General features: G+C 43.6%; 1 pseudogene, besides 4 other annotated features; it reads left to right on the forward strand.

The window, feature by feature from the left end:
- Positions 239–918: an enhancer, noted in NCBI's record as "H3K27ac-H3K4me1 hESC enhancer chr9:98388865-98389544 (GRCh37/hg19 assembly coordinates)". NCBI's record gives its function as "activates a minimal SCP1, AML or CMV promoter by ChIP-STARR-seq in naive H9 embryonic stem cells {active_cell/tissue: H9 hESC(naive)}" and the evidence as "EXISTENCE:reporter gene assay evidence [ECO:0000049][PMID:30033119]".
- Positions 239–1,970: a biological region, named in NCBI's record as "CDK7 strongly-dependent group 2 enhancer GRCh37_chr9:98389397-98390596".
- Positions 771–1,970: an enhancer, noted in NCBI's record as "CDK7 strongly-dependent group 2 enhancer chr9:98389397-98390596 (GRCh37/hg19 assembly coordinates)". NCBI's record gives its function as "activates an origin of replication core promoter dependent on BRD2, BRD4, P300/CBP, MED14 and CDK7 cofactors, with strong dependence on CDK7, by STARR-seq in HCT116 cells {active_cell/tissue: HCT116}" and the evidence as "EXISTENCE:reporter gene assay evidence [ECO:0000049][PMID:35650434]".
- Positions 1,443–1,737: an enhancer, noted in NCBI's record as "tiled region #14573; HepG2 Activating non-DNase unmatched - State 21:Repr, and K562 Activating non-DNase unmatched - State 21:Repr". NCBI's record gives its function as "activates a minimal TATA promoter and a strong SV40 promoter by Sharpr-MPRA in HepG2 and K562 cells {active_cell/tissue: HepG2 | K562}" and the evidence as "EXISTENCE:reporter gene assay evidence [ECO:0000049][PMID:27701403]".
- Positions 26,543–26,827, forward strand: PSMA7P1 (proteasome subunit alpha 7 pseudogene 1; annotated as a pseudogene).

Consider the following 27,735-nt stretch of genomic DNA (forward strand, 5'->3'; position numbering starts at 1 on the left):
TTTCAAGTGTGTATACAGATGTGTGGGTTTTCTGAAGAGATGTGAGGGGAGGGAAGCAAATGTAGCTGTGCGGAATGTTTTGAGCCACAGCCATCGGGATCCAGAGGAAAATGGTTGACTTTTTCCAGCCTGCCCAGATGGGCCGAGCGTGTGGCATGTTAGCTCTGGCAGGGCCCCCGGGCTCTGTAAACACCGCTGCGGCCCTAGGCCGGGACGCCATGTGGACTGTCAGGACTTGCTGCCTAATGGGCTCTCGCAGAGTCTTCCAGCCGCTTCCTCTGGTCTCTGTGGCTCTGGGGAAAGCCTCGGGGACAGGGTGGGAGTCAAGTTATTTGATTCTGTCCCTTGAGGTCCATTTGTCCACTTCCCAGAAGAGCTGGACTGACAGCGAAAGGGACGTTCTTCTCTTGGGCAGGAAGACCTTGCCAGCATCCATGCTATGTGTGTTTCAGGAGCGGAGGGCAGGTTCAATTAGCTGCGGCAAGTCAGGTCTCGGAGAGGTCGTGGGAGGCCCCTCACCCTGGAGCCAGCTCCCCTTCCCCTCTCTGTTGCTTTCCGGGTTCCTTTTTTATGTCCGCTCTGGATGAGTGCATTTGCCTTCTGCCCTTTTCACTTCAATGGCCCTGATGCCGTCGTGTCCCGGCGACACACGTGCATGCTGAGCTCAGCGGCGTGGATGGGTGCCAGGTGCCAGGCTCCACTGTCAGCAAATCACACCCTCTCCTCAGCCCGCCACAGCCTTTCTGAGACTTGGGTCTATAAATTGCATCATGACAAGTCGCCTGGGAACTTCCCTCGCTGCTGGCAGCTCCACACCCATGCATTTCCTTTTCCTGTAAAAAAAAAAAAAAAATCAATTCCCAGCTCAAACTCAAGAGAGAAGGTTAGTTATATCGAAACCTACTGCACATAGACACTATATTTTCAGGAAAATATTGTCACCTTTTGAAATCTGTCACGTTGTGTTCCTTCCCGTTCCTGACCCCCTTCCTGGTCCCCTCCCTCCCCAGCCTTGACAGGAACAGTCAGCCTCAAGTCAAGCCTACAGCCACGCCCCATGCCCCTACCCCAGGAGGATGCGTGCTTTCAGAAATGGTTCCAGTGGTGGTGAGGCCCTCAGCCCCCCAGGACCCTCCTGTCAGCAGGGGAAGTTGACCGAGAGGGATGCTTGGGGTCGGGAGGTTGAGCCTTAAGACAGAGATCTCGGACGCATGGCGGGTTTCTGCTTAGCTGATGATGTTGGGCAGTTTTCTCATCTTTGCCCCACCTTCCTCATTTCTGAAATAGGAGAGGAATAATTTCACAGGAGGAAATGAGCATCCAGGTCAGTCATCAGTTTCCAGTGTCAGGACGCTGCATGGAGTGGTGTTCTCTCTTTACCACCCAACCAGGGCATGCTTTTCCACCTTTCCATGGATGCCAAGCCTTTGAATGAAAGCATCAGTCTCCAGGAGTCTTGGGCTAAAATCAAATCTATGAACTTAGAAAGGAGGTAGAATGGACATTTGTTGTTTTTGCTGCTCCCCGTTCATGCTAATAGCACCCCATTTCCTTTCCAGGAAATGACCTCATCCCCGTCCTGTGCATTCCAGGGAATTAGCTCACCCGCATGGTAGACTGTCAATCAAGGCGCCCTGCTCTCCCTGGCCAAGCGGTAGGCATGTTACTACAGTGGGGCCAACTGGATTCTCCCTTTTATGCATTGGATCTGGGGCAGCCTCACGAGTCAGGACACACGCTGCACTTGATACATACCAGAGTGCTTCCTCAGCCACAGCCATGGTTCCTGCCAGACCCCCCAGAGAGTCCCTGGTCCTGTTCACTCTGGCCGGGGGCAGTGGCCACCTGAAAAAGACTGATGTTAGTTTCCTACCCGCCTGTGCTAAATAAGCAGAAAGAAAAGTTCTTCCCACCTGAATGGGTGAGCTGAGGGGTCAAACCACAGGGCACCCAACATCATCATGCTGAGGATGAGAAATTAATCCACAAATGCTGCCTGAGCAAGGGACAATGGGACTCAGAAGTGCTAGAACTCTTTCCAGATAATGGAAACTGGATCCTGGGATCGCAAAACATGCAGGTGGCTCTTGAGCAACGCGGGTTTGAACTGCGCGAGTCCACTTGTACATGGTTTTCCTTCCATCTCTGCCCCCAGAGAGAGCGAGGCTAACCCCTCCTCCTCCTCGTCCTCCTCGTCCTACTCCACATGAAGACAATGAGGTCTTTAGGATGGTCTGCTTTCACTTATAGACTAGTAAATGTATTTTCTCTTCCTTATGATTTTCTTAGTAACATTTTATTTTCTCTAGTTTACTTTATTGTAAGAATACAGTATGTAATACATAAGACATACAAAATATGTGTCAATCAACTGCTTATCTTCTTGGTTTCCAGTCAAAAGTAGGCTATTAGTAGTTAGGTTTTTAAGGAGTTGAAAGTTCTGTGTGAATTTTTGGCGGCTCAAGGGATCACCACTCATAACTCCGACAGTGCTCAATGGTCAACTGTGTATCTTTCTGCATTTGTGTCAAATAAGGAGGGTCATTCATCTCTTCTTTCTCCTCCTCTGCTCCTTCCTTGTCTTTGAAAAAAAAACTTTTTTTGAGAGACAGGGTCTTACTCTGTCATCCAGTCTGAAGTACAGTGGCGCGATTATAGCTCACTGTAGTGTCAAATTTCTAGACTCACGTGATCCTCCTGCCTCAGCTTTCTGAGCAGCTGAGACTAGAGGCATGCACCACCACATCCAGCTAATTTTTGTTTTTATTTTTATTTTTGTGGAGATGTGGTCTTGCTATGTTGCCCAGGCTGGTCTCAAACTCCTGGGCTCAAGTGATCCTCCTGCCTCAGCCTCCCAAAATGTTGGAATTACCAGCATGAGCCATCATGCCTGGCCCTTGTCTTCTTATTATTTATTTATTTTGTTTCTTTCTTTTAGGGGGCAAAGAAGATGGACATTTTTTGATGGAAGCCAGTTTAATCTATATCCTTTACAGTATCTATTTAACCAAGTTAAGGTTCTCTCTGTCTATCTGGATGATCAGGGGTCATGCCTCTATAACTGGAGCCTGAAAACCAAATTTGCCATTCTGGAGTAGCTTCTCTGGAGTTGAAGCTGTTGCTGAAACTCTGTCAAACCAATTTAGCAAAACAAGCGGAAGAGGTAAAGTCATCGCTCTCCCCTCCTTCTTCACCCATGGCAGATAGGGTGGCTTTCTTGCAATCAGGCACAAATCTTCCTCTGTCCTACCTGGTCTACTTTTTCTATTAAGACAACTTTTCACTGCCTAAGCTCACAGGCAACCTTGAAGGGAGCTGCATTTTCCTCAGCAAAATCGCGCAGGCCTTACCTGTTAATGTGCCCGCGATGAGGCAAAACCGTGGCAACCATGTGGGTTCTACAGTGGAGGGGGCCACATTCCAGATGGGTCCTTAAGATCTGGAGATCTGGGTGACATTATCTCAAAGAACAGGTGGACATTATCTCAGGACCTGGGGACAGCAGTTACAGGGGTGGAATAACCACAGCTTCCACTTCCTGTAGCTCAGCCCAGCGGCTGTGGAAAGGACTGTGGATACATTTTGACCACCCTTTCCAGTTTCTCTTTTGTATTAGTTATAGTAATTCATGCTAGCTGTTATAACAAATAGTCCTCAAATTCCAATAACTGAATACAAGTGTGTTTCTCAGGTGTGCAAAGTCTGTCGAGAACGGGGTGGCTCCATGGCAGTGGTCCTCCAAGCAGTGACTCAGGGATCATGGTGTGGCTTTGTGATCTGAGTTGGCTCAGGTACTTCTAGTCATGTGGACAGAAGAGAAAGAGTAAAAGGAGCACCAGGTTCTTAACCACCTGAATCAGAAGTGCGATGCCCTTGGCTACAACCATCATGCCACCCACCTAACCGTGGAAGGAGCCCATGGACATTGGTGAGCACGGCATGCTCTGTAGCGCCTCAGTGTCCAAGCTCTTCAGCGAATCCCCCTCTCGACTCCTGGAGAAACTTCTCTTCTACACATATCCCTTAGGAAAGGTCTGAAACATACACAATACTAAGGTAAAAAGGAAGTATAAATGAGTGACATGTACTCTTCCTCAGAAATACACTGTTTTAGGCAGGCTAAACATCTTAACCTAAGATGGCAGCTCTTTCAGCTACTACTTTGATGCAGAAGGATAAGCTTCTGCTGAGCAACGCTGGAGTTCTGCTAATTTCCAGGCTTCTGAAATGCAGGTGAATGCAGGTAAGAATGGCCTTGCTGACAGCTCAGCACCACACAGTCCCCAGGCCCACCCCTGGCCTTAGCAACCATCACTCTTAGGAGTAACAAGCGTGGAAGGCATTCTCATTGGAGATCCCTGTGTTAAATGAGGAGAGAGCTCAGTCTTTGGTTCCTCTGGCTCAGTGCTTGTCCCATTTGCCTTTTAATTTTCTGGTCAGACGTATGCTTGGGGCTTTGAGCTCACAAATGATGTGGGTGATTCCCATTGGGTGGCTCTGTCATCTGGTGGGTGACCCTGGAAGTTTATTCTTTGTGCTCTGATTTAGAATAGAAATATAAGAAAGAAGTTGAGAAAAAAGTCTTCTTGACTCATAATTACAATGTGAATCAGTAATGAATCTCTAAGTTCAGTATGTGGGGAAGAACATTTTTTTCTGTCCATCTATCTCCTGGTTCCATGTCTAAGACCCAAGAAGAGAGCTGGAGCGAACGAAAAGGAAATAATAAAATTGTGGGGAACTTGGGAGAAATAATCAAAGGGAGGTTGAACTCAGGATGAAAACATCAGGCCAAGGTAGCACCCTGAAGGCCTGTTGCCAGCCCTGGTGCCCATATGTATTTTGATTGGCCTCTGGTTTGTTGGTCCACACAGTATTTTGAAGAAAGTATGAATTAGTAGCCAACTTTTAAATACCTGGAGATTTCACATAAAAAGCCAGATTTCCACCTTCTCTTGAAAAATTAGAGTTTGGAACAGCAATAAGCCCATATTCCAGCAAAGCAACAGTTGGCCTGAACTCAGCAGGAGCTGCCCCTTCAGACAGGGCAGGGCTTGTTGCCTTCAAGTTGGCAATGGCCCCACCCCTCCCTATGGCTCCCCTGCACTAAGCCTCCATGTCACTCCTCTTCATCTGGGATTTCTCAGTCCCGGTGGGTCTCCCTATTCATACTGTTGCTTGGACTCTGGAAGGATTTGAGTCTGTAAGCCTTGACCTAGGGAACTTCTATGCTTCGCAAGTTGCTGAAGAGCACTGAAGACCGTGATGGACTGGTGATGACAGACACTTGAATACAAGGGAAGAGCAAGAGAAATAGAATCACGGGAGTCTCATTGCTTCAGGGAATTCATGCGTTATGATGGTCATGTGTCAGGAGGATAAGCTGGGAGTACTTCTGTCTCCGTTGTCACTGATGCCCCAAAGGCCAAGCCTGGTGCAGTAAGTGCCAGGTACCACTGTATCCTAAGCTGGTTGGGGGGACCAAGTCTGTGCCAGGCTTGCAGAGGCACCCCCAGATTAGGGGCAGGGAAGGGAGATGGCCCGTACAGACATCTTCTTTGAGGAGCTTCACCAAGAAAGGGAGTGGAGAGAATTGGGGCAAGAGTTGGAAAAGATGCGGTCAAAATGTTTGTTTTTTAAGCTGAGAGCCATCTCAGCATTTGTTAATTGATTGGAATGATTTGATAGAAAGAGGAGACTGCTGGGGCTTGAAAGAAGGGTCAACTGAAGATGAGAGGTCTTCGAGTCAGCGAGAGGGAGGGGAATTGGGCTTTGAGACAGAAACACAGACAATGCGTGCAAAACGGAAGGAAGGCAGAGTCTAGGGGAAGTTGCAGTGAGGCTGGGGCACCTGGAGATTTAGCTGTGGAATGTTCTTTGATAACTATGCCCTTCTTGTCCTTTTTTCAACTATTGGTAATAAACTTACTGAAATGGGGTTATATTTAATTTATTGGGTCTTATTTTCATGTAAGGTTGTGTAAGCTGCTCACTGCACAAGGCATCTGGCCAAGAGGATGAGCTGGGACAAAAGTCTAGTCCATGCTCTCTGCTCACAGCAGTGTGCCCTGGTGTGGGGCTAAATGCCCCTGGAGTAAGGGACATGTCCCCATTTTCCTGTTAGTTTGCACAGAGCACCTTTTGGCTAGAAGGGACTCTCCTTACTTTGTTCTCTAGTTTGGTGTGAGTTGATCCTGTCTTGGAAATGGGAGTGTAAGATCTCTGACGGAAGAGGTGGTCTTGCATTTGTTATCACCAGCAGCACCTAAGCCAGTGTGTGCTTCCCCTAGTATGGGCCATGGAATGCTTCTATGAAATGTAAATAGATGTTACGTAAAAAGAAATCTATTAGAAAAAAAGGCGGGGGGCGGGGGTGAATCTGCATAGAGAAGAGTCCTTCAGCATCACAAACGCCATTGGAAAAAGCAGCCGGCATGCTCCTTAATGATGCCTGATGGTGCTGCAGGTGCCCATTCGCATGGGAGAGAAGGGCTTCCATCTCTGCGCTCATCCTCCAGAGGCTTCTGCATGGAAAACCCTGCTTGGAGGTCTGTGTGATGTCTCAGGGGGCAGTCCGACCCCCGGGGAAAGGTGTTGCATGGGCTGATCTGAGTGTGGTTTCCAAGAGTGAGGCTTGGGCCCTGGAGCAATCTGACTCCATAGTTTCTTTTACCAGGAAGACGGAACTTGTGAGCTTCCCTCCATCACTGTCAGGCCCTGGAACTATCCAAGAGCTCTTTCACTCATTTTCTTTAGACTTTAAACTCCTCCCAGATTTCCCTCAAATCCATTCTAACCCTTTCCGTTTTCATTCTTTTCTCCAACAAAGAGCAAAACTGAAAAATGATAGACTGTCTATTGTGTTGACTGAACAGTGGTGACAGCCATGGGTACTGATGTAAGGCTGCCTCAAGTTCTCAGTTTTAGTTGTGTGGATTTGGACAAGTAACTTCACTTCTCTGGGCCTCGGTTTCCTCATTAATAAAGTGGAGGTAATACCAGGACTGTTGTAAGAATAAATAAAGTAAATACATGTAAAATATTAAGGGGTTGGACCATAGTCTATGCTCAGAAAATGATGAGGATGTCATCATCACCATTGTCATCAATATCATTTTGATATGTTGATAGTATACTTGGTGCACTGCAAAATTCTAACTGCAATCAGATTGCATTGATAAACCCTGGAGAGTTCTGGTTTGACTGACTGAATTTGTCATATTGCTGCACTCTTTTCTATTTTAAAAACTTGTACACGGCCAGGCATGGTGGCCCACACCTGTAATCCCAGCACTTTGGGAGGCCGAGGTGGGCAGATAACAAGGTCAGGAGATCGAGACCATTCTGGCCAACATGGTGAAACCCTGTCTCTACTAAAAATACAAAAATTAGCTGGGTATGGCAGTGTGTGCCTGTAATCTCAGCTACTTGGTAGGCTGAGGCAGGAGAACCGCTTGAACCTGGAGGTGGAAGGTGAAGGTTGCAGTGAGCTGAGATTGCGCCACTGCACTCCAGCCTGGCAACACAACTAGACTCCATCTCAAAAAAAAAAAAAAAAAAAAAAAAAGAAAAAAGAAAAAGAAAAAAAAACGTGTACATGCCCCACCATAATGCCAGGAAACATCAGCTTCAGTACTTTGTCTCTCATTGTATGACCCACCTTTCCCAAATAGAAGCCCTCCCCAGATCATTAACATCCCATGCGAAAGATGGATTTGTAACCCCGTTAGTGCCTAAGGTGTTTCGGAGTATGATGATTGTCCTTGTGTGTTGATCTGGCTTGGATCTGTGTCCAGCCCAAATCTCCTGTCAAATTGTAATCCCCAGTGTTGGAGGTGGGGCTTGGTGGGAGTTGATTGAATCATGGGGGTGGATTTCCCTGTTCGTCTTGTGATAGTGAGTGAGTTCTCGTGAGACCTGGTCATTTAAAAGTATGTGGCACCTCCCCCCTTTCCTCCCGCTCCCACCATGTGAGACACCTCACACCCCTTTGGCTTCTGCAGTGATTGAAAGCTCCCAGAGGCCTCCCCAGAAGCTGATGCTGCCATACTTCCTGTACAGCCTGCAGAACCATGAGCCAATTCAACCTCTTTTCTTATAAATTACCCAGTCTCAGGTATTCCCTTAAAGCAGTGTGAGAACGGACTAGTAAATGTGTTCTAGGTGTAAGTGCTTCTTTGTAGATCGTTGCTGCTGTTCACATGCAGAGCACTGGAGACACAGGAGGATTAATTAAGGGCCCAGATTTGAGAGCCTGTGGGGCACCCTCCTTTAGAAGCAGGAGGGCAGGCAGAGGCACTGGGCCCAGGCAGCATTGTCTTGTTTGGAAACCCTGCGGACAGCCTCATTCTGGTCATTTTTCTAATTCCTGTCAGTCTTGATTCTCCATGAAGAGCTGTGCTGGCCTCGATGAGAATGCCCCTGGGGAAGCGATGACCAGACGCTTGCCTTTAGGGAGAGCTGTGTTCTCTCTGCAGGTCTTTGAACTTCCCCAGAGCAGTTATCTGGCCTCTAGAACTTATCCAAAATGTTTTCTTCAAGAAGCCCATTCCCTCGCCTGCAGCAGTAGTGTGGCACGGCCACTCTCTCATCTGGTTTCCAGCAGTTGGGTAGGGAGTGTTGTTTGCCTCCCGGACAGCACACACACAAGCTGGGGCTGCCCTCCACATGTTCTTGGAGAATTGGCACTCAGACCCCTTTTCCTGACTCTTTGTTAACATACACTTCAAATGACTGGGCAGGGCTTGATCTTAATCAAATGTCTCCTTAATATCTGCCCTTGGCACAGATCCAATTCCTGAGCACTGTCTATAGAGGCATTTGTGTAATACATACATATACTCACACATATGGCCACACCACCCACCGTCATAACATAAAGGTCCCAAGCATATGATGAGCCTATTTTTTTTTCCGGCAGAGATGGTTTAAATAAATGGACAACATAAGTACTTCTCCCAGCCGCACATCCTCAAGGTCAGCAAGAAGCAAATGGGGTAAAAAGTCCTGAGCCTAAAGTTCTCAACCTGTCTTGTTTTAAGCTGTGAGTGTAGGTGCAATCGGATGAGTGTTTGCTGGGGAAGTATCTGGATATTTGAACCCAGATTCCCATGTAAGATTCTTTCAGCCCATTGAGGAAGATGGGTGCACACCAAAGGGGTCTTCTGGAGATGTGGTCTGAGGCAAATGTAAGCTCCAGAGCATACAGCTGTGTTTTTCAGCAGTGAGCTCTCAGGACTACCTGCATCTAATATCATGGGGAGCCAGTCAAAATGCAGATTCCTGGGCCTCACTCATGACTGCACAACTCAGAAGACATGGAACCTAGGTATTTTCATTTTTATAATATTTCCTGGGAGATTCTAAAATATATATGCGTTTGAGAGCCATCGATCCAGAGATTTTTAAGTAGAGGAGCACATGAGAATCACTCTCAGCACTCTGTTCTCTTTATATATACATATATATATATTTGTCTTTTTTTTTTTTTTTTTTGAGACAGGGTCTTGCTCTGTCACCCAAGCTGGAGTGCAGTGGTGCAATCTCAACTCACTGCAGCCTTGGCCTCCTAGGTTCAAGCGGTCCTCCCACCTCAGCCTCCCGAGTAGCTGGAATCACAGGTGCACACCATCACACCCGGTGAACCACTGTGCCTAGCAGATTTTCATTTAATACATTTGGGGGTGGATCACAGATGTCTGCATTTGGAAGAAGTACCATTGTGATTCCAATTCCAGTGCTCCTATGTGTCCCAGTGGTCCTCTAATTTTGGCAGGTGTGCAAGAGAATGAATGGGGGTAACATGGAGGGGTGGGGTTCCCGTTAAAGGTGGATTCCTGGACCTTGCCTTTAGAGTCCTCTGCATGTTCTGATGTGGGAGCCCTTGAAGACAGGGACCCACTGAGGGCATCCATGGACTCACCCCCTTGCCACTCCCCCGGTCCCAGGGATTCCAAGACCACCTCCTTGCCCTTCCCACCCTGCACCCTTGGTACAGTCAGCACTGGAGCCAGGCCTGCCTATTGAGGGCGGGAATGTGCTCTGCAGTTTCTTCTTCCAGGGGATTATTCTAAGGCACTCCCCACCCTTCCTTTCATTTGAGTTCCATTTCCCTGGGATGATGATGACAAGTGCCAAAGAAATGTCTAGACCACAGATTCTGAATGTGAACAAAAATGCCTTAAAGTACAAAAGAGATTTTCTGCAATGTGAAGCCCAGAGGATTTTTGGTTGTTGTTGCATTAAAGCAGTGCCATAGAACAAGGGGTGGGGTGGGAAACAGGGAGGCAACCTCTCCGATGGCTTTGCTGCTCTGGTCAGTTAATACTTACCAGGTGCTAGGAACAGAAATTGTGTTCATCATGAAGGATCGATAACCCCATTACCCCCATCCTTAGATACCACAGCAAAGTCTAATGGTTTCTTTTTTTTTCTTTTTATAATAGTTTTTGTTTTTAAATAAATTTTAATGTTATCGAAGTAATATATGCACATACTTTTGAAAGTCAGATATCACTTCCAGGAAATTTTTCTCATATTTTTCTTTGTTAATTTCCTGTCAGTGTCTTTTCTACTGTCTTTTTCTTGAACTCCTTTGCATGTTGAATCTCCTGGCTTAATCCTCTAATTGCTTATCTTTTTCTCTTCTGTAGTTCATTTTTTTTATCTTTCCTCCTGTCTGCCGGATTATGTTGTCTTTTTAAATCCAACCCTCTGTTGACATTTTTACTTAGCTGTACTATTTTTAATTTTCAAAATATCTTCCTCATTTTTAGGGTATCCTGGTACTGCTTTAGGGACGTGATATCTTCTATTAATTCTTTGAGTTTACTGACTTCTGAAGTTTTAATTTTGCCCTCTAAATTGCTTCTCTTTCTTCCAAGGTACTGAAAAGGACCAAATCTCCTGAACTGGGGGCTGGGGAGAGAAGAGATTCATTGTTTGTGTTCTGGTTTGGGGGTGAGAGGAAGCTGTGAGTATCACTGTTCAGAATGAAGGTTTTTATTTAGAGCTTCTGTTTTCAGTTCATTCCAGATGCCTAACTCTCCCCATGCCTGAGTCTTTGTGCTCAGGGTCTCCTTAGTTGTGTTACACTAGACTGATGCTGTCTAATACCATAACCTCTCACCACTGATGGTCCCTGAGCACTGGGAATGTGGCTGGTCAGAATTGAGATGTGCAGTGAGTGTAAAATACATACCTGATTTTGAAGACATTACAAAAAACAGTAAAATATCTCAGTTTTTAAAGTACTGATTATACCTTATCTCAATTTGTAAAGTATTGATTACACATTGAAATAATGATATATTAGGTTAAGTAAAGTATATTATTAAAATTAATTTTACCTTTCTCAATGTGGCTGCTGGAAAATCTAAAATTACATCCAGGGCTCATATTATATTCCTGTTTGACAATGCTGCCCTTCTGTGGCTGCTGGGAAAGGGATCCAGTGGCCTCCCTGCTCCTGTCTTAGTCCCATGTGTCTATGGGAGCCATTGCCTCAAGTTCCTGATCCTTTCCAGGGCTCAGCAGAACAAATCCTTGCTACTCCTTGGCATCCTCTGCAGCCTCTTGGTTTTAGCTTTCTCTGTTAAATTTAGATTAGTTACTATTGCCTCATGTGCTTTTCACCTTCAAAAAGTTGATTGAATTATCTCTTCTGCCATTCTCTTAGCATTTATGGGTTTACTATTTTCCTTTGCTGTTATTTGAGTGGGGTTTTGGAAGGGAATGGAGATAATGCTTGTGATCAATCTGCCATTTGTAAGTTCTAATGGCCCCTTGAATCAAATTAAATTGTCAGCTTTAAGGCACATGATAATTTCCCCTCTATGCCTAAAGCCTGTTAGTCAGCTTGGGGTGTCATAACAAAATATTGCAGATTGGGTGGCTTAAACTACTGTGATTTATTTCCCACAGCTCTGGAGGCAGGCTGATTGGCTCCTGGTGAGGGCTCTCTTCCTGGCTTGCAGGTGGCTGCCTTCTTGCTGTGTCTTCATATAGTGGAGATGGGAGAGGATGCAAGCTCTCTGGCATGATTTTGTATAAGGGCACTAATCCCATCATGAGGGCTCCACCCACATGACCTCATACAAACTGAATTATCTTCCAAATGCCCACCTCCAAATACCATTACACTAGGGGTAAGGGGTTCAACTTATGATTCTTGGGGTAGGGCATGTCAGTCCATGGAGCACCCTCCACACTGGCTCATGTTCCTTACTTTGTCATTTGTTCTCCTCCCCCACATGCTTGCCACCAGGATATTCACCTCAAAGTTTCTTTCATGTTTTTCATAGCAAAGCCTTGTTTCTGTGCCTTTACTATATAGCCTGAAGACTTTTATTCAGAAATTGACAAGACAATTTTAAGTTTTGTCTGGATAAGCAAAGGACCAACAATAGCCTAAAATATCTTGGAAAAGAAGAAAAAAGTTTCTGGACTCACAGTACTTGACTTTAAGACTACGCATCAGGTCTGGGTGGCACTGGTGGAAGCCTGTACATGTCAGTCAGTGGGACAGAATAGAGTGCCCAGAGACGCACCACCCACAAATAGATGTCCAAATAATTTTTGATGAGTGTGAAAGCAATTTAATGTACATAGAAAAATCTCTTTACTAAGTTGTATGGAAACAATGGGATATTCATATATATATATGTATATATATATCCCTTTGTGTGTGTCTATAACCTCAATTCCTACTTTGTACCATATCTAAAAATCAATTTGAGATGGGTATAATATTTACATATAATATCTAAAACAATAAAGCTACTAGGAGAAAACCCAGAGGAGTATCTTCATGACCTTCAGGTAGGCAAAAATTTATTGGGGAGGTTACAGAATGCACAAGTCATAAAAGAAAACAGTGTATGTAAATGAAACTTCATCAAAATTCTGAAAAACTCCATCAAGAAAAATCAATAGGCAAGCTGCAGACTGGGAGAAAATATTTGCAACACATACATCTGACAAAGGACTTGTATCAATAATATGTAAAGAACTCCTGTAACACAATAATAAAAAGACAGACGCCCAATTTTTTAAAAATGGGCAAAAAACTGACAAAACAAAAGAACATATACAAATGGCCAATGGTTATATGAAAATGTACTCAACATCATCAGCCACCAGGGAAATGCACAATTTATCATAAGACACTATGACATGCCTGCCCGAACACCTGAAATGAGAAAGACCAACACCATCAGTGACTGGAGATGCGCTTTGTGGTTCTCTTGACTCAGTGATGCCCAGTCTCATTCCAGAAACATTTAATTCTGCTCAGTCAAAACTCAACACCATCCTGGCTATCATGGTGAAACCCCATCTCTACTAAAAATACAAAAAATTAGCCAGGTGTGGTGGCAGGTACCTGCAGTCCCAGCTACTCGGGAGGCTGAGGCAGGAGAATCACTTTGAACCTGGGAGGCGGAGGTTGCAGTGAGCCGAGATCGCACCACTGCACTCCAGCCTGGGTGACAGAGGGAGACTCCATCTCAAAAAACAAAACAAAACAAAGCAAAAACTCAACAAACATTCCATGATCTCAAAATGTTCTACCTGATGGGACAGGTTTAAGAATACAATTGAAATGTCCATAAAACAATGTCTTTCAAGAAGAACGAGGAGATTTTATTAAGCAATCAATTTGTGTAGCCTGTTTTGAGGAGATTTTCCTAGGTTCCCAGGATATTCCACTTGGCCCCAGTGTGACTACTCAAGAATGGGAAGGAGTCAGGAGTCTGACTTTTTAAGGGTTCTCATGTGAGGGTGATGTTCCTGCTTAAGAGGAGGGGATTTGACGGCGACTTCTCTTGGCCTCCATTCCTTGTCATGTGGGGTAATCTGACTCAAGGATGCCTCCATGACAGTTTCATCATATATGGCACCAGCTGTTGTTGGAGTGGGAACTGGGTCTTCTCTGCAGTCAGGGGAAGTTGGAAGCATTCAGAAGATGCCCAGAGCATCTGGAGCCTAGTTGACACAGTACTTTATGATGGCAGATGGAGGCACATGTCGCAGGAGATTCCGGAGTGGTTCGGTGTCAGCACCCCTGCAAGGCGGGGTCTTGTTAGTTGACCTAAGAGATTCCATTCCAATGTGCTGAAGATGGATTTTCAACTTGGCCTTTGCGGAGGCTAAGAAAGATTCATTGCAAATTTCTGTTTACTTGTCTGGCTTTCGTGGGATAGCCAGTGTTTTCCCTTGTTTTAGGTTATCTTTGGCTGGAGGGCAAGAAAAATAGTCAATGATGTCTTGGAAGTTTAAGCCTACACTATATGGCTCTTTTAAAAAATATTTGGTTATCCAGAAAGATATTTCTTGTGTTTCTACATCTAAAATTTCTCTGTGGTTTGGCAGGACCAAAGCTTTTCATGGCTGCCAGTCATATCTTAATTGGATCACCTTGTGGAAACTTCAGAGAGGTTTTCCTAGAATTTGTTTCCAATTTCTGATGTCGACCCAGCATTTATTATCTAAGGTGAGACAGACACGACAATCTCCTCATTTCCTCTCTCTTTAAAAGGACGTGCTGCATTTTTCAAAATACCTCCCAAAGAGTGCTCACTGGGAGGAAAATTCTCCTTTCTTGGCAAAGAACGTTCTTGCTAGCTCTGTTACTCCTCAAATGATAGTAACTTATTTGCAAATTCTATTGAGGAAATAGCCAACAGAAAATTCAAAGAAGGGGGAGAAAAATGCACTTTGTACTCACACCTAAACCCACTGTATTTTTTAAAAATTGTACTTATTTGAGCCTACCTTGTATTATGGACTACAAAAGTGCCTGCTTGCTCTTTCATTTCTTACAAAATTATAAGCTCCTTGAGAGCAGGAAAAACATCCATTCCTCTTTTACCCTTTCAACATCAGCCAGAATGTCTGACATGTGATAGGTGCCTGGGATGTATTTGTGGAATTAAAATGCTTGAAATATATCTCTGGGGAACACATGAGAAGTTATTAAAATATTTTCCAAAAATATTTAATGGCACATACAGGTTTAATTTTAAAAAGCCAAGCACACACTTTACACATAATAGGATTCAACTTTTGTTATAAATAGGCACAGATACATGCACTTAGAAAAAGGACTGGAAGGAAATGTGAAAAAATAGTAAACAAGGCAATTTCAGGGTGGTGAGATTAAAAGATAATTTTAATTTTTAAAATTTATGATTTTTGTCAAATTCAAATTATCTACAATAACCATGCATTGCTTTTATTAAGCTTTTTTTAGAAAAAAATTAACTTTTTGTGCAGTTTTTTTTTAAATCATTTGCTTTGAATATTTTGCCTTGAATATTGTTTCATTTACTAAAAGTGATGGCAGCTGTTTCTATGCAGTGTGACTGTGTACTGGGCACTTTGCCAGGGTTTCACAGTGTTGTCTCTGTACTTGTTACATGAGACCTTGCTCTGCGTGTCTTTTTATGTCCATTTTACAGATGACGGAACTGATGCCCAGAGAGGCTAAGGGATGATTCCTCCGGAAAGGAGGGGATCTGGATCTGGACCTGGTCTGGTGAAGGCAAAGACTCGAGCCACAGCCACTTACTCCACTTGCTCCCTCTGGGGTGCTCCAGGGAGAGTGTCTTGCGAGCACCTTGGGAACCCGTCAGTTTCATGCTTTTCTCTTTGCCCTTGGCTCGCTCACTGAAAAGTTTCCCAGCTATATTATCTTTCTGAAGTGTTTAGTCTTGTAATTTGTGAATATCTGAAGACAAGAAAAACTGATTAACAGCATCAGTAATAGTAAATGTCAAATTGAAGCATATACTCCCAACTTTTAATAACAATTGTAGGGGACACTTACTTTCTAGGGAATATGATTTGTTAATGTTTTAACTTTGTATAATGAATATGTATTATTTTTAGTCCAAAAGGACAATGAAAATATGTGAAAAGGTGGAATTCATTAAAAGCAAACTTTTTTTGTAAAGAGCCAGATTGTAAATAGTTTTGGCTTTGCAGGTCATATGGTCTCTGTGGCAATCACTCAACTCTGCAACTAACACAGTCATAGATACTGCACAGAGGAATGGGCAAGGCTGTGTTCCAATAAATCTTTATTTACAAAAACAGGCAATGGGCCAGAATTGGTCACAGGCTATAGTTTGTGTATTAGTTTCCTGTCACCACTGTGACAAATGACCAGAAATTAGTGGCCTGTAACAATGCAGATGTATTCTCTCATAGGAAGACAGAAGTCTGAAATCACTATCACTGGGCTAAATAATCAAGCAGGCTACGCTCTCTCTGGAAGTGCCAGGAGAGAGTCTGTTTCTTGTTTGCTCCAGGTTCCAAGGCCTGACAGCATTCCTTGGCTTGTGGCTCCATCATCCCAACCTCTGCTTCTTCTATCATGGCATCACCTTCTCCTCTTGTGTAATCAAACCTCCCTCTCACAAGGACCCTTGTGGTTGCATTTAGTGCCCACCTGGATAAGCGAGGCTAACCTCACCATCTCAAGGCGTTTAACTTAATCCATTTGCCTTGTAAGGTAATGTTTTTGTTTTTGAGATGGAGTCTTGTTCTGTCACCAGGCTTGAGTGCAGTGGCACAATCTCAGCTCACTGTAACCTCTGCCTCCCGGGTTCAAGCAATCCTCTTGCCTCAGCCTCCTGAGTAGCTGGGACTGCAGGTGCGCACCACCAGGCCCAGCTAATTTTTTGTAGTTTTAGTAGAGGTGGGGTTTCGCCATGTTGACCAGGATGGTCTTGATCTTTTGACCTTGTGATCCACCCACCTCGGCCTCCCAAAGTGCTGGGATTACAGGCGTGAGCCACCGCGGCTGGCCATAAGGTAACGTTTACAGGTTCCCAGAAATAGGATGTGGATATCTTGGGGTGAGGGGGCATTTTTCATCCTATTACACCCCGGCATGAAGTAACAAAAAGGCAGGGGTGGGGGGGATTGCTGTAAAAAGAACATTGATTTAGGAGCAAGTTCACCAGAGCCAGAGGCCCAGCTCCAGTCACTGTATGCACAGTCTTGGGAGAGTCATTGGACCTCCCTGGCTTTTAGCTTTTCCATTTGTGATGTGAGGGAATTAGACTATATGACCCCCTGAGACTCTTTTTAGCTCTGTCATCTTTAAATTTTTTGATTTTTGAGGAGTATTTTCAACAGCTGCCTCTGTCATAGTGACCTTTGTTATAAGTGATGTGGCTTAAATCTATTCAGAGCAGCTTTGTTCTAAGTTGTATCAGGGAAGATTCAATATTTATAGGCAAAATAAAGGCAGAAATAAATTTTGAACTATTCCCAAGTTAGTATAAGCATGGGGAAATTACAGGCCAACCCTCTCATTCAGAATGAAACTAAAATTTTTATGCCACTCTGTACAGAAAAGCACTTGAGAAGTCCACAAAAGTACTTTCACTCTCTGAGGATAAAGAATAATGAACTCAGAATGAGAGAGGGAGGATTCAATAATTACATGGAGCTAGATTAAGAGATTATCCAGTATGGCATGCCCTCAGGGCTTGTGTGGTTCTTAAAAACGAGCTGTAATTCCGTCTGTGAGTTTCCTAGAGGCAAACGCAAAGACAGAAAGATGATTGTGTAAGAATAACACTGTTAATAGAATTTTTAAAAAATTGCTAGGAATTCGACAGCCTGAAGTGACATTTTCCTTGGATCTTCCTAAACAGGGACACTCAGGGTTATTCTCACAATATCAGTTCATTCATTCATGCACTCAACAGATATTCATTGATTGCCTTCTACATACTTGACACTGTCCTAGTGACCAGAAAGATATGTCATAAACCAGATAGAAATGATTCTGTCCTCTTGGAGCTCACAGCCTGGCAGGATGTGCAATTATTGACAAGTCCAAGGAGTGCTATGGATGAGGAAGAACAGAGGCACAGGCATGTATGCCAGGGGGACTTTTTCTATGGGCTGGTCAGGGAAGGTCTCTCTGAAGAGGTGACATCCAAAGTCATTTCTCCATGGCATGACAGTAATTCATCAGGCAAAGAGTAGAGGAGGAAGTTGCCAGGCAAGGCAGACAGAAGACCAATGGAGACACCTATACTTGTCTGTGTCATTGTCTGGTATAGTTGGAGTGATGAGAGAACAGAGCAAGTGCTGTGTCAGATGGTGGAGTGCCACAGTAAGGATTCTGGACTGTATCCAACATAAATTGTGTTATTAATAGTTAGAACACTCCGCTGCTGTGATAAACCTCGGGGTTTCAGTAGCTCAGTGCACACTGTAGCTTACTCTCCTTACTCCCCTATTAGCCTAATGGGATGTTTCTGATGGCTGGGCAGCTTTCCCAGTGGTGATTCTGTCATGAGTCTCCTATGTCTTCTACAGCCAACCTGTAACTGTGGAGGGGAGAGAGAAAGTGGAGAAGAAGCATGTCTTAATCATTCTGACCTCCAAAATGAACCATTGTTTCTACATAACTCACTGGCAAGTGGTCACAACACCCTGCCTAAATGCAACGTGGGTTGGAAATGCAGTCCCTGGCTGGGCAGCCACTTCACGGCAATAGCTCAACTCTGGAAAGGGGGCGCGGAGTTTAGTGCATGATTATCTGTTCATGCTGCAGGAGGCCGCTGGAGGGTCGTGAGCAAGATAGAGGTATAATCAAATTTGAATGTTAAAAAGACCATCTTGGCTGCAGAATAGAGAAGGTATTGGAGGGTGCAAGACTGGATGCAAAGCAACCAGTTATCATAATGGGCAATAAACACAATACAGTTGCAACTGCCATGGAAGAGTTCTATAGGGCATCTCTCGGTGTCAGCTGAGGATGCGATACCAGTATGCATTTCAGTGAAAGTGTGATGTCAGTTATCAATACGATATCACTGACTGATGTCAACTGTGACAACCAAGGAACTTTTTCCCTTTTATAACCAGAAGTCAGCAGCCCATTGACTGATGCCAGTCTCATTACATTCATTAGTTTTAAAAAAAGTGTTTGAAAATATCACACACATAGTCATCCTTGCTTCTTAAAAGTGGCTGATTAGAGTATCCAGTGGAGCTATTCTGCACATCTCTATTGCTAGGTCACACCATGGACTCTCAATGCTCTCTTTACTACTGGAAGCTTTAAATCTAGTCAGCTTAGAGAGCCAATTCTAGAAACCCCAGAACCAATTCAGAAAACTCATACTTAACATTCTATTCTGTTCTCTAGAACTATTCTTGGTATCAACATCTGTGTTAGTCACGGTTCTGCAGAGAAACAGAACCAATCTCACATGATTGTGGAGGCCGAGAAGCCCTGAGATCTGTAGTCAGTAATCTGGAGACCCAGGAGAGCCAAAGGTGTGCTTCCAATCCAAGTCCAAGGGCCTGAGAAGCAGGAGAGTCCATGGTGTAAATTCTAGCTTGAGTCTGAGTCCAAATGCAGAAGGCCTATTCTCAAAGACGGTCAGACAGAGTGAATTCTCCCTTACTCAGCATTTTGTGGTATTTGAGTCTTGAACATGTTGGATGAGATCCACCCACATTTGGGAGAACTATCTGCTTTCTCAGTCTACCAATTCAGAGGTCAGTCTCATTCAGAAACACCCTCACAGACACACCCAGAATGATGTGAAACCAAATATCTGGGCACCCTGTGGCCCAGTCAAGTTGACACACAAAAATTAATCTTCATAATAGGTGTGCTCCCCAAAATTATTCTGTGGCCAGACAAATTTCAAGAACACTGCATACTATAGCCCAGAGGTTGGCAAATGTCTCCAGTCAAGGGTGAGATAAAAGTAAATATTTTAGGCTTTGAGGGTCATACAGTCCTGGTGGCAACTACTCAAGTCTGTCCTCAGAGCCAGAGTTAATATGTAAATGAATAGGTGTGGCTGTGTTCCAAGAGAAACAGGCATTGAGTCATACTTGGCCTGAGGACTGAGGATTGTAGACTGGACCTCTGCTGTACCCCCTTCTTTGAGCTCTTTTCACATTAGCATATTTAAACTCAAAGGCTTTGAGAATTCCTGCAGAAATGAAGTCTGACAGCCAAGTTTGACCCAGGGTTTCTCAATCTATTTGACTGTGGAACACTTTCTTCATGCTATACTATTAACCTTTAATGGGATAGTATTCAATGAAATATCCATTTAAGAAATGATGGTTTAGCACGAAAGTTTTATTTAAAAGATCTCTGCTGAGAGGATTAAGAAAAATAATATAAAGTTCTTTTAGTTTTCTTGAGTTACTGAAAGTTGAAGGGCACTAAATTTGAAAGATTTAGGAATACATTTGCCTTTGAAAATGGATGTAATTTCCTACTATGTACAGTTGTGCAGTGAGCAATGCATTCCCTACCAGAATAATTTGGAAATGATTTACTAAATTTACAAAATAGTTTTAAATTTCTAGCCTTGGCTCTGGCTATGATTAGAAAAAAAAATTGGCACTAAGAATAGCAATAAAAAGCTAACTGTTAAGGAACTTTTTTCCATTTCTATGGTGTTCGTTGGTCCTTTGATTCAACTTGAGGTAATTTTGGATTCTGATATTCCGCCCAGCTTCAGCAATTGTAGTAAATTGTAATTTATATTCTCATTTACATCATTAAAAAAAGTTGAATGAGACAACGTCCAGCTCTGAGGCCTATGACACATCACTAATGAACCGAACCCACTCATTTTGATTCAGTCATTCATCGACTCAGTGGCCTCTAACCCCAAATATCCCCATGTTGCCAATATTTTATTGTGCTTTTGTCAAATGTTTCTCTGATGTCAACATTTTCTACGTCAGTCACATTTCTCTGAGCTACTACTCTAACAATTTGGAAAAAGAAACGTGGTTCATCTGCAATGGCTTGCTCTCAGTGAGCCTATCGAAGCTTCTACTACTCACCCAGGTCTTTAAATGATCTATTCTTGTGACTTGCCCGAGATTGAAATTGCATGGTTTTCAGAATCTACCTTTTTCCTCTTTCAGGAAACTGAAATGCCACTTGCCCGCCTCTGGTCTTCGGCCCTTCTTCTGGCCCCAGTTGTCCTCCGTGGTTGCTGGTAAAGGTTGCTTCTGCCTGTGGCCTGGGTATTATTTGTACAGATTAGGAGAAGAGTGTTCAATAGGAACACTCACTGCTTTCTTATACGCTGTCTACACTGGGGTCCCACTCCCTCATACTAACATTTATGTTACTTTTTTTGACCTAAATATAACTATATTTGTAAAAGAAGATGCAATCTCCCTGCTTGCTTTTTGCCATCTGTCAACCTTACCCTGTAGGTTTTGACTGCAGGTCTCTCCTTTCCTAACGGGTTTTCCCTGGGAAGCTGGTACGATCCACTATATAGCTTGAAAGTGCAAAAATGGTCATGGCTATTTTAAAGGGTCAAATATTAAAATATAATATTAAATTATGAATATTAACTATGAATACAAATTATGAATATTAAATTAGCAGGGTATCCAGTTCCTCTGAAACATCTGCCCTCCCTGCCTCTCACCAGTGTCAGGTTTTCAGGATTCCCAGGGTGGTACACAGTCCAAGTGCTGTTCTTGTTTGGTGTAGACAGTGTCAGAGAATCTGGTTAACCCACTTGTGCCACTTATCCTGGCACCAGTTTATTGCCCTGTGCACTACTGTAATGGGGCTTTGGCCAGTCCATGCCTTTGCTAGTTCCTGATGTATTGTGCTCCACTGTTGGCCTTCCAAGGCTAGAGCCCTTGGGTTCACACTCTCAAGCCATGCACTGTCCCAAGGTAGTCTGTGAACACCAGGGTAGCTGGGTTAGAAGGGCCATCTAAGCTCAGCCACCCTTTGGGACAGAAAGAGCCCTCCCCTCAAGATCCGCCAGACCCTGGTGTGAGATAAGGTTGCCAGCCACGCTTCCCCTTCCCTGTAGTCAGTTCTCCTCTGTGGGCCTTGGTGCTTTTCCTGACAGCAGACATCAACCAGAGCATGCCGGGCCCAGTAAAGTGGTCCCTCAATGCTGAAACGCTAAAGGGAAGAGCGGAGTCCCCATTTCATTCCCAACAGCAGGATCCTTGGTCTCCAGTACAGGTTTACTAACCTTCCCACCCTTGCAAACCACAGGGGCAAAGGCAGCCTCTGCCAGGCCACAAAGGCCCCTCCCTCTCCCTTCCAGGGTAAAGGGCGCGTGGGCTTCTTATATTTGCATGACAAGGTGACCTTGCCCTGCTCTAAGAAGTCTTCCTGTCTCAACCCAAAAGGCAGCTTTAAAAAATGCAGCTTCTGTAGCCAAATTTCTGTCTCTCTAGCACCTGCTATTTGAGTATAACTCAAGACAGTCATTTCCATTGTCCTCAGAGTGTTTTTGCAAGCTTAGCTCCTTTGAAAGTTTGCCCTCCTTCCTACTCTTCCAGAGGCCAATGTTAAGTTTTATTAGAGTGGTTTTCCAACTATTTAATGGGCTAGCAGGAGAAGAAGGAGCGGGACCCTGTTAGTTTGGGTAGGTGAGGTTGCAGGAAAAAGACACCCAAACATGTAATGGCAATAATAAGGAAGTTGATTTGTCATGCTCAGGATGGTACTGGGCTTGTCAGTAGGTCAGTGGGACAGCCTTCCTCCACTTGGCCATTCTGGGTCCAGGCTTTTGGAGACTCAGTCATCTTCTACATGTGGCATGTCAAGAATCTATCTTCCACCTTTCTGTTTGTAAATTATTATTATTATAACTTTTATTTTGAAATGAAATACAAGCGATTTCCCACACTTCTCCAAATGATAGTGTCTTACATAACCATAGAACATATTTGAAAACCTGGGCACTAACATTGATCCAATACTCTTAACTCGGGTATGGACCTTTTTTGCTCTTCACCTGATTCGATACACATTTTTAAAAAATATGCCTTACTTTTAACTAAACAAGACTTTCACTTTTTATGTGCGTGTGTGTCCCAGGCACTGCACTAGACCCTAGGAGTAGATTTCTGTCTAGATAGCTGAGTGGCCCCCATCACTAGCAAGTTATTCTTTCATCTGGCTGCCAGCTAATCAATGATCTAACTTCTATTCCCCCCTCTCTATTTCCCATCCACATGTGCCCTTAGTGATATTCAATCCTTAACCCACACGTTTCCAGAGGAGATGATCTTCTAGATGTCCAGTCACTACTTAGTTTAAAGCCAATAGCATCTGATACAGAGTATATACCTTTTCCTCCCACCAAAAGTCCGATACCAATTAGATGGGATATTAACAAGTCTGTGCTCTTCAAAATGTACCTTCAGTTTATTCTTCTTCCTCTTATCCAAGGGCCTGATAATCCTTTGAATGAGATTGGCTTCTGTCTGAGCTTCTGGTGGATAATGGCAGCATTTTATCAGGTTTTAGTTTTCATTTTCAGCATAATACAATTATGTGGAGAGAATACTTCCATCTGTATTTCCAGCTCTATGGTACCTCCTTGCCATTGCAAATACTTTTCTTAAATTGCACAGGAGAGTTTAAACAATTGTGAAATTCCTAAAACTGCCTGCTTCATTGCCAAGAAGTCTTCTTCTGGCTGGCATCCAAAGTGGTGGCCACAGTTACCTTTCTGGAGCCCGATTTCCGACATGGCACCCTCTCATTCTTCTTAATAAATGGTTTGAACATCTAAAGTAGCCACAAGGATTCCTGGCATTTGTCAGAGGCGGAAATCCGCATGGCAGACTGAGAGGGAGAGTCATAAAATCTTTGTTTTAGTTTGGACTCATTTAAAAATTGGAATGAAATTAAAAAATGTTTTTTCTTATGTGGTCACGGAGGTTTCCTCTTAGGAGGTGGGAATTCTACCAGGAAATGACGTGTAAGGAAAATGACTATGGAGTCTGTTTAGTGCTTTGTTTTGTGGGTCCATGGGAGCAGGAGTTGTCTCGCTTTCTGCTGAGTCCTCTGCGTCCCCTTCTTGCAGTCAGAGCCCCACAGTTGACGTGTGCTCTTACCGGTAAGTCTCAACAGTTTTTATTTCACACCGTGGTCTGCAAACGTGCTTTCAAAACGTGCCTTTCTTTGTGTGCAAACATTCACACCCACATTCTTATGTTTGTGGATTCTCTGTCTTCCAGAAACACTAGTGTCTGTCCAAACCTTTCAGACCAGAAGGGTGTAACTTTTGGTTTGTGGTCTCATCTCTCTGTGTCTCTCCTTACAATAATACACAGATGTTCAGAAAGCTCTGCTGAAAAGGGAAGAAAGTGTCTTTGATTCCTGCTCCCCAAGCCGCTCTATTTTAGACACTTTCAAAGCTATGAGAATGGAAGGTGTCTGGCTGTTCCCCCGCTGCTGGACAATACTATTTGATTGATTAGAGACTTGGGCACCATTTATGAAACTACCATTTAAACTAGAAAACATGTCATCAGATACAGCTTCAAGCATTGGATGAAGTCTGACTCTGAAAGTTAAACGGGAGGTGATTCTTGTAAAGCAATAAGTTTAATTCTTGGAGCTTGAATCCATCCAAATTCTTTCATCTACCCAACACTTCCTGAGTGTCTCCACCTTGGGCCAGGAACTGTGTGTGATTCCAGGGACACAGTCCTGGCAGCCAGCCCTCATAAAGCTCGGGTCTAGGGGTGATAGGCAAAGCAATCACCTAATACTGTGTGATGAGGTCCACAAACAGGAGTGCACCACAGGTTGGTGGGGGCAGAGGCGGCCCAGGGAGGGGCTGGGCTATGCCCAGGTTGGGGTGGAAATGGACAAGAGGTGTTGGAAGTTGTTTTCGAGATGAAATAAGGCATGGCCTGAATCTTGAAGGTGAGCCATGTGGTCACAGATCAGGATAGGTATTTAGAGATGGAGAAAGCATCCATGAAGCTCGTGGGTGTGTAGGGGAGCAGCCGGCCTGTGGTGTGGTGGGGCTGAAGTGAGAAGAGGCTAAAAGCAAGGAGGGACTTCCTCATGAAGAGCCAGTTGAAGGAGTTTAGACATGTGTTTTCTGTAGGCAATGTAGAGCTACTAAAAATATTTAAGCATGCTTATGTAAATTTGATGGTAAAAATACATAAATAAATAAAAATAAAAACATAAAAAAGTTTAAGCACATGCATGATGTAGGTTAGTTTGTGTTTTCATTGTACAAAACACAGATAGTCTGTATGATGCAAAAATAAGAAGTCAATTAAGTCAACCTGGTCCCATCACTGAAAAATTATTGTCAAAGCAGCTTGACAGCCTTAATTGGTTAATTCTTTCAAAGTAAGGGTACAAGTAAAGATGTGTTTCCAGTAAAAAGGTTTCTTTTATTTTCCCTTGTGCAATAGTGAAACTCACTCCACTAGATCTCCAATAGCCACTGTCTCTTCTTCTACAATGTCAATCAGTAAAATTTGCACCTTGTCCAACATGTATTGATTAATTTCCAGGAACAGCCTCAACTTCCAGTTTGCTCCGGATTTTAAATTGGATCCATTCCTATATCTTCTGGGGCTGTCTATAATGTATTTATCTTCTTGGTGTTATGGCCATTATTGCATAAATTGCTAATTATGTTATTGGCTCATATTCAGAGAATAAAGAAATACAGAATGAAATTGAGTGAAAATCAAAATATTCATAATAACTGTAGACGTCTGTTTTACAGAACATTAAAATTCTTGAAAAAAATCACAGTATTTCATGGGATTAAACACAAAAATCGGATTTAACAACTTGAGTGATATGCTAAGAGACCCATAGAAGGGAACAACTTTGATGACTCCTTTCAGAGTACACTTTAGATAAAATGGGAGAAGACATTTTTCTTTGTTCTACCTTTTCCCTTATGGAGGAAATACAAAATTCCTGCTTGTCCTGGACCGTCCTGGTTTAAGCCTTTTTCTGGGGTTCTACATGGTTTAATATTGGTCCCAGGTCTTCCATTCCTTAATGAGGAAATATTATTAATGGTCACATTAAAATAAGTCAGAGTAGGTTTTTTTTCTTCAACTTTTATTTTAGAATCAGGGGTACATGTGCAGTTTGTTACGAGTCAATTGCATGATGCTGAGGTTTGGAGTATGAATGAATCTATCACTCAGGTAATGAGCATGGTACCCAAGAGGTAGTTTTTAACCCTTGCCCTCCTCTCTACCTCTCCCCTCTTGTATTTCACAGTGCTCTGTTCCCATCTTTATGTCTATGTATACCCGATATTTAACTCCCACTTATAAGTGAGATCACATAGTATTTGTTTTCTGTTTCTGCATTAGTTTGCTTAGGAGCATGGCCTCCAGCTGCATCCATGTTGCTGCAAAGGACATGATTTAATTTTTTTATGACTGCATAGTATTCCAAGGTGTTTGTGTGGCACATTTTCTTTATCCAATCCACCACTGATGGGCGCCTGGGTTGATTCCATGTTTTCACTATTGTGAATGGTGCTGCAATGAACATACAAGTGCATGTGTCTTTTTGGTAGAATGACTTCCCTTCGGGTATATACCCCATAGTGGGATTGCTGGGTGGAATGGCAGCTCTGTTTTAAGTTCTTTGAGAAATCTTCAAACTACTCTTCACAGTGGCTGAACTAACATACATTGGCTGGGGTAGGTTTGGTAGGCCTCCACTTCATAGTTCCACTGTCTGGAGCAGCCTTATGGGTCAAGCATGGGCCGGGCTGTTGGGCCCCTGTGCCCTCATGGTTGGTTTTGATTTTGATGGCACCCCTAGACTTTATCAGGGTGACCCCTCAGGTATACACCGTGCCTGCAGGGCCAGTGCTGCAGGCCGGGCACCAAGGCAGTGAGTGAGTGCCTGGAGAAGAAGTAAGGGATGAAGCCATGGAAAGGTGTGGCCTGACCCTTAGGCTGGTGATGAAGGCGCTCTTGGAAGTGGGTGCCTCAGGTGGTAGAAACATTGAAGTTGCTGTCACCAGGCGAGATCAATCCCTCAGGAATTTAAATCCTGAAGAAATTGAGAAATATGATGCTGAAATTGAAAAATAAAAAGAATAAAACGAAAAGAAGAAAGAAAAGAAAGCATCATGATGACTAAAATGTTCTTGCTTGTAACAATTTTTAAATTCAAATCACGGATGAGTCTACATCTACATGATGTAGGCATTTCCATTGCCTTTATTCACACCATCTGAGGGTCCTACAGTAAACTTCCATATTTGAATTTAAAAAGTGAGCATAGCAGGCTAAGCATGCTTCCTTGGCTGCCTGCCATCAATTGCATTTAGAAATGGTTGAGTTTTGCAGGTCAACTTTACAAGTAAAACCTAAGTCTCTAAACGTGGCAGTGGATATTTTTGTAAATGAGTCTTCTAAATTTTGATTGCATTTTGTTCAAAATCTGTTGGAAATCTGTGGCCAAAGTATTTAAAGAAGGGAGCACAAAAAAGTATTAGCTATTACATGTATTGAAATTACAAGTAATATTACGCATTACTGGTATTGAAAACAAAGCTGAGAGCAGAGACTCCATAACTTACACGTACAAGAGGAAGTAACTGAATAAATTAGAAGGCAAGGGCTCAGATAAGGTATAAAGTTTAATTTCGGGATTCTTTAGTTTCATTTCAAAAATCTTGTGTGTGGGAAAAATATTTTTGAAGAAGGTTCTGTTATTTTTTATTTTTTTGAGACCGAGTGTCACTCTGTTGCCCAGGCTGGAGTGCAGTGGCCCCATCTCGGCTCACTGCAACTTCCACCTCCTGTGTTCAAGTAATTCTCCTTCCTCAGCCTCCCGAGTAGCTGGGACTACAGGCGCAGGCCACCTCGCCCAGCTAATTTTTGTATTTTTATATTTTTAGTAGAGATGGGGTTTCACCGTATTGGTCAAGCTGGTCTCAAACT

The sequence above is a fragment of the Homo sapiens genome, chromosome 9 (genome assembly GCF_000001405.40).
Source record: "Homo sapiens chromosome 9, GRCh38.p14 Primary Assembly".
NCBI lineage: Eukaryota > Metazoa > Chordata > Mammalia > Primates > Hominidae > Homo > Homo sapiens.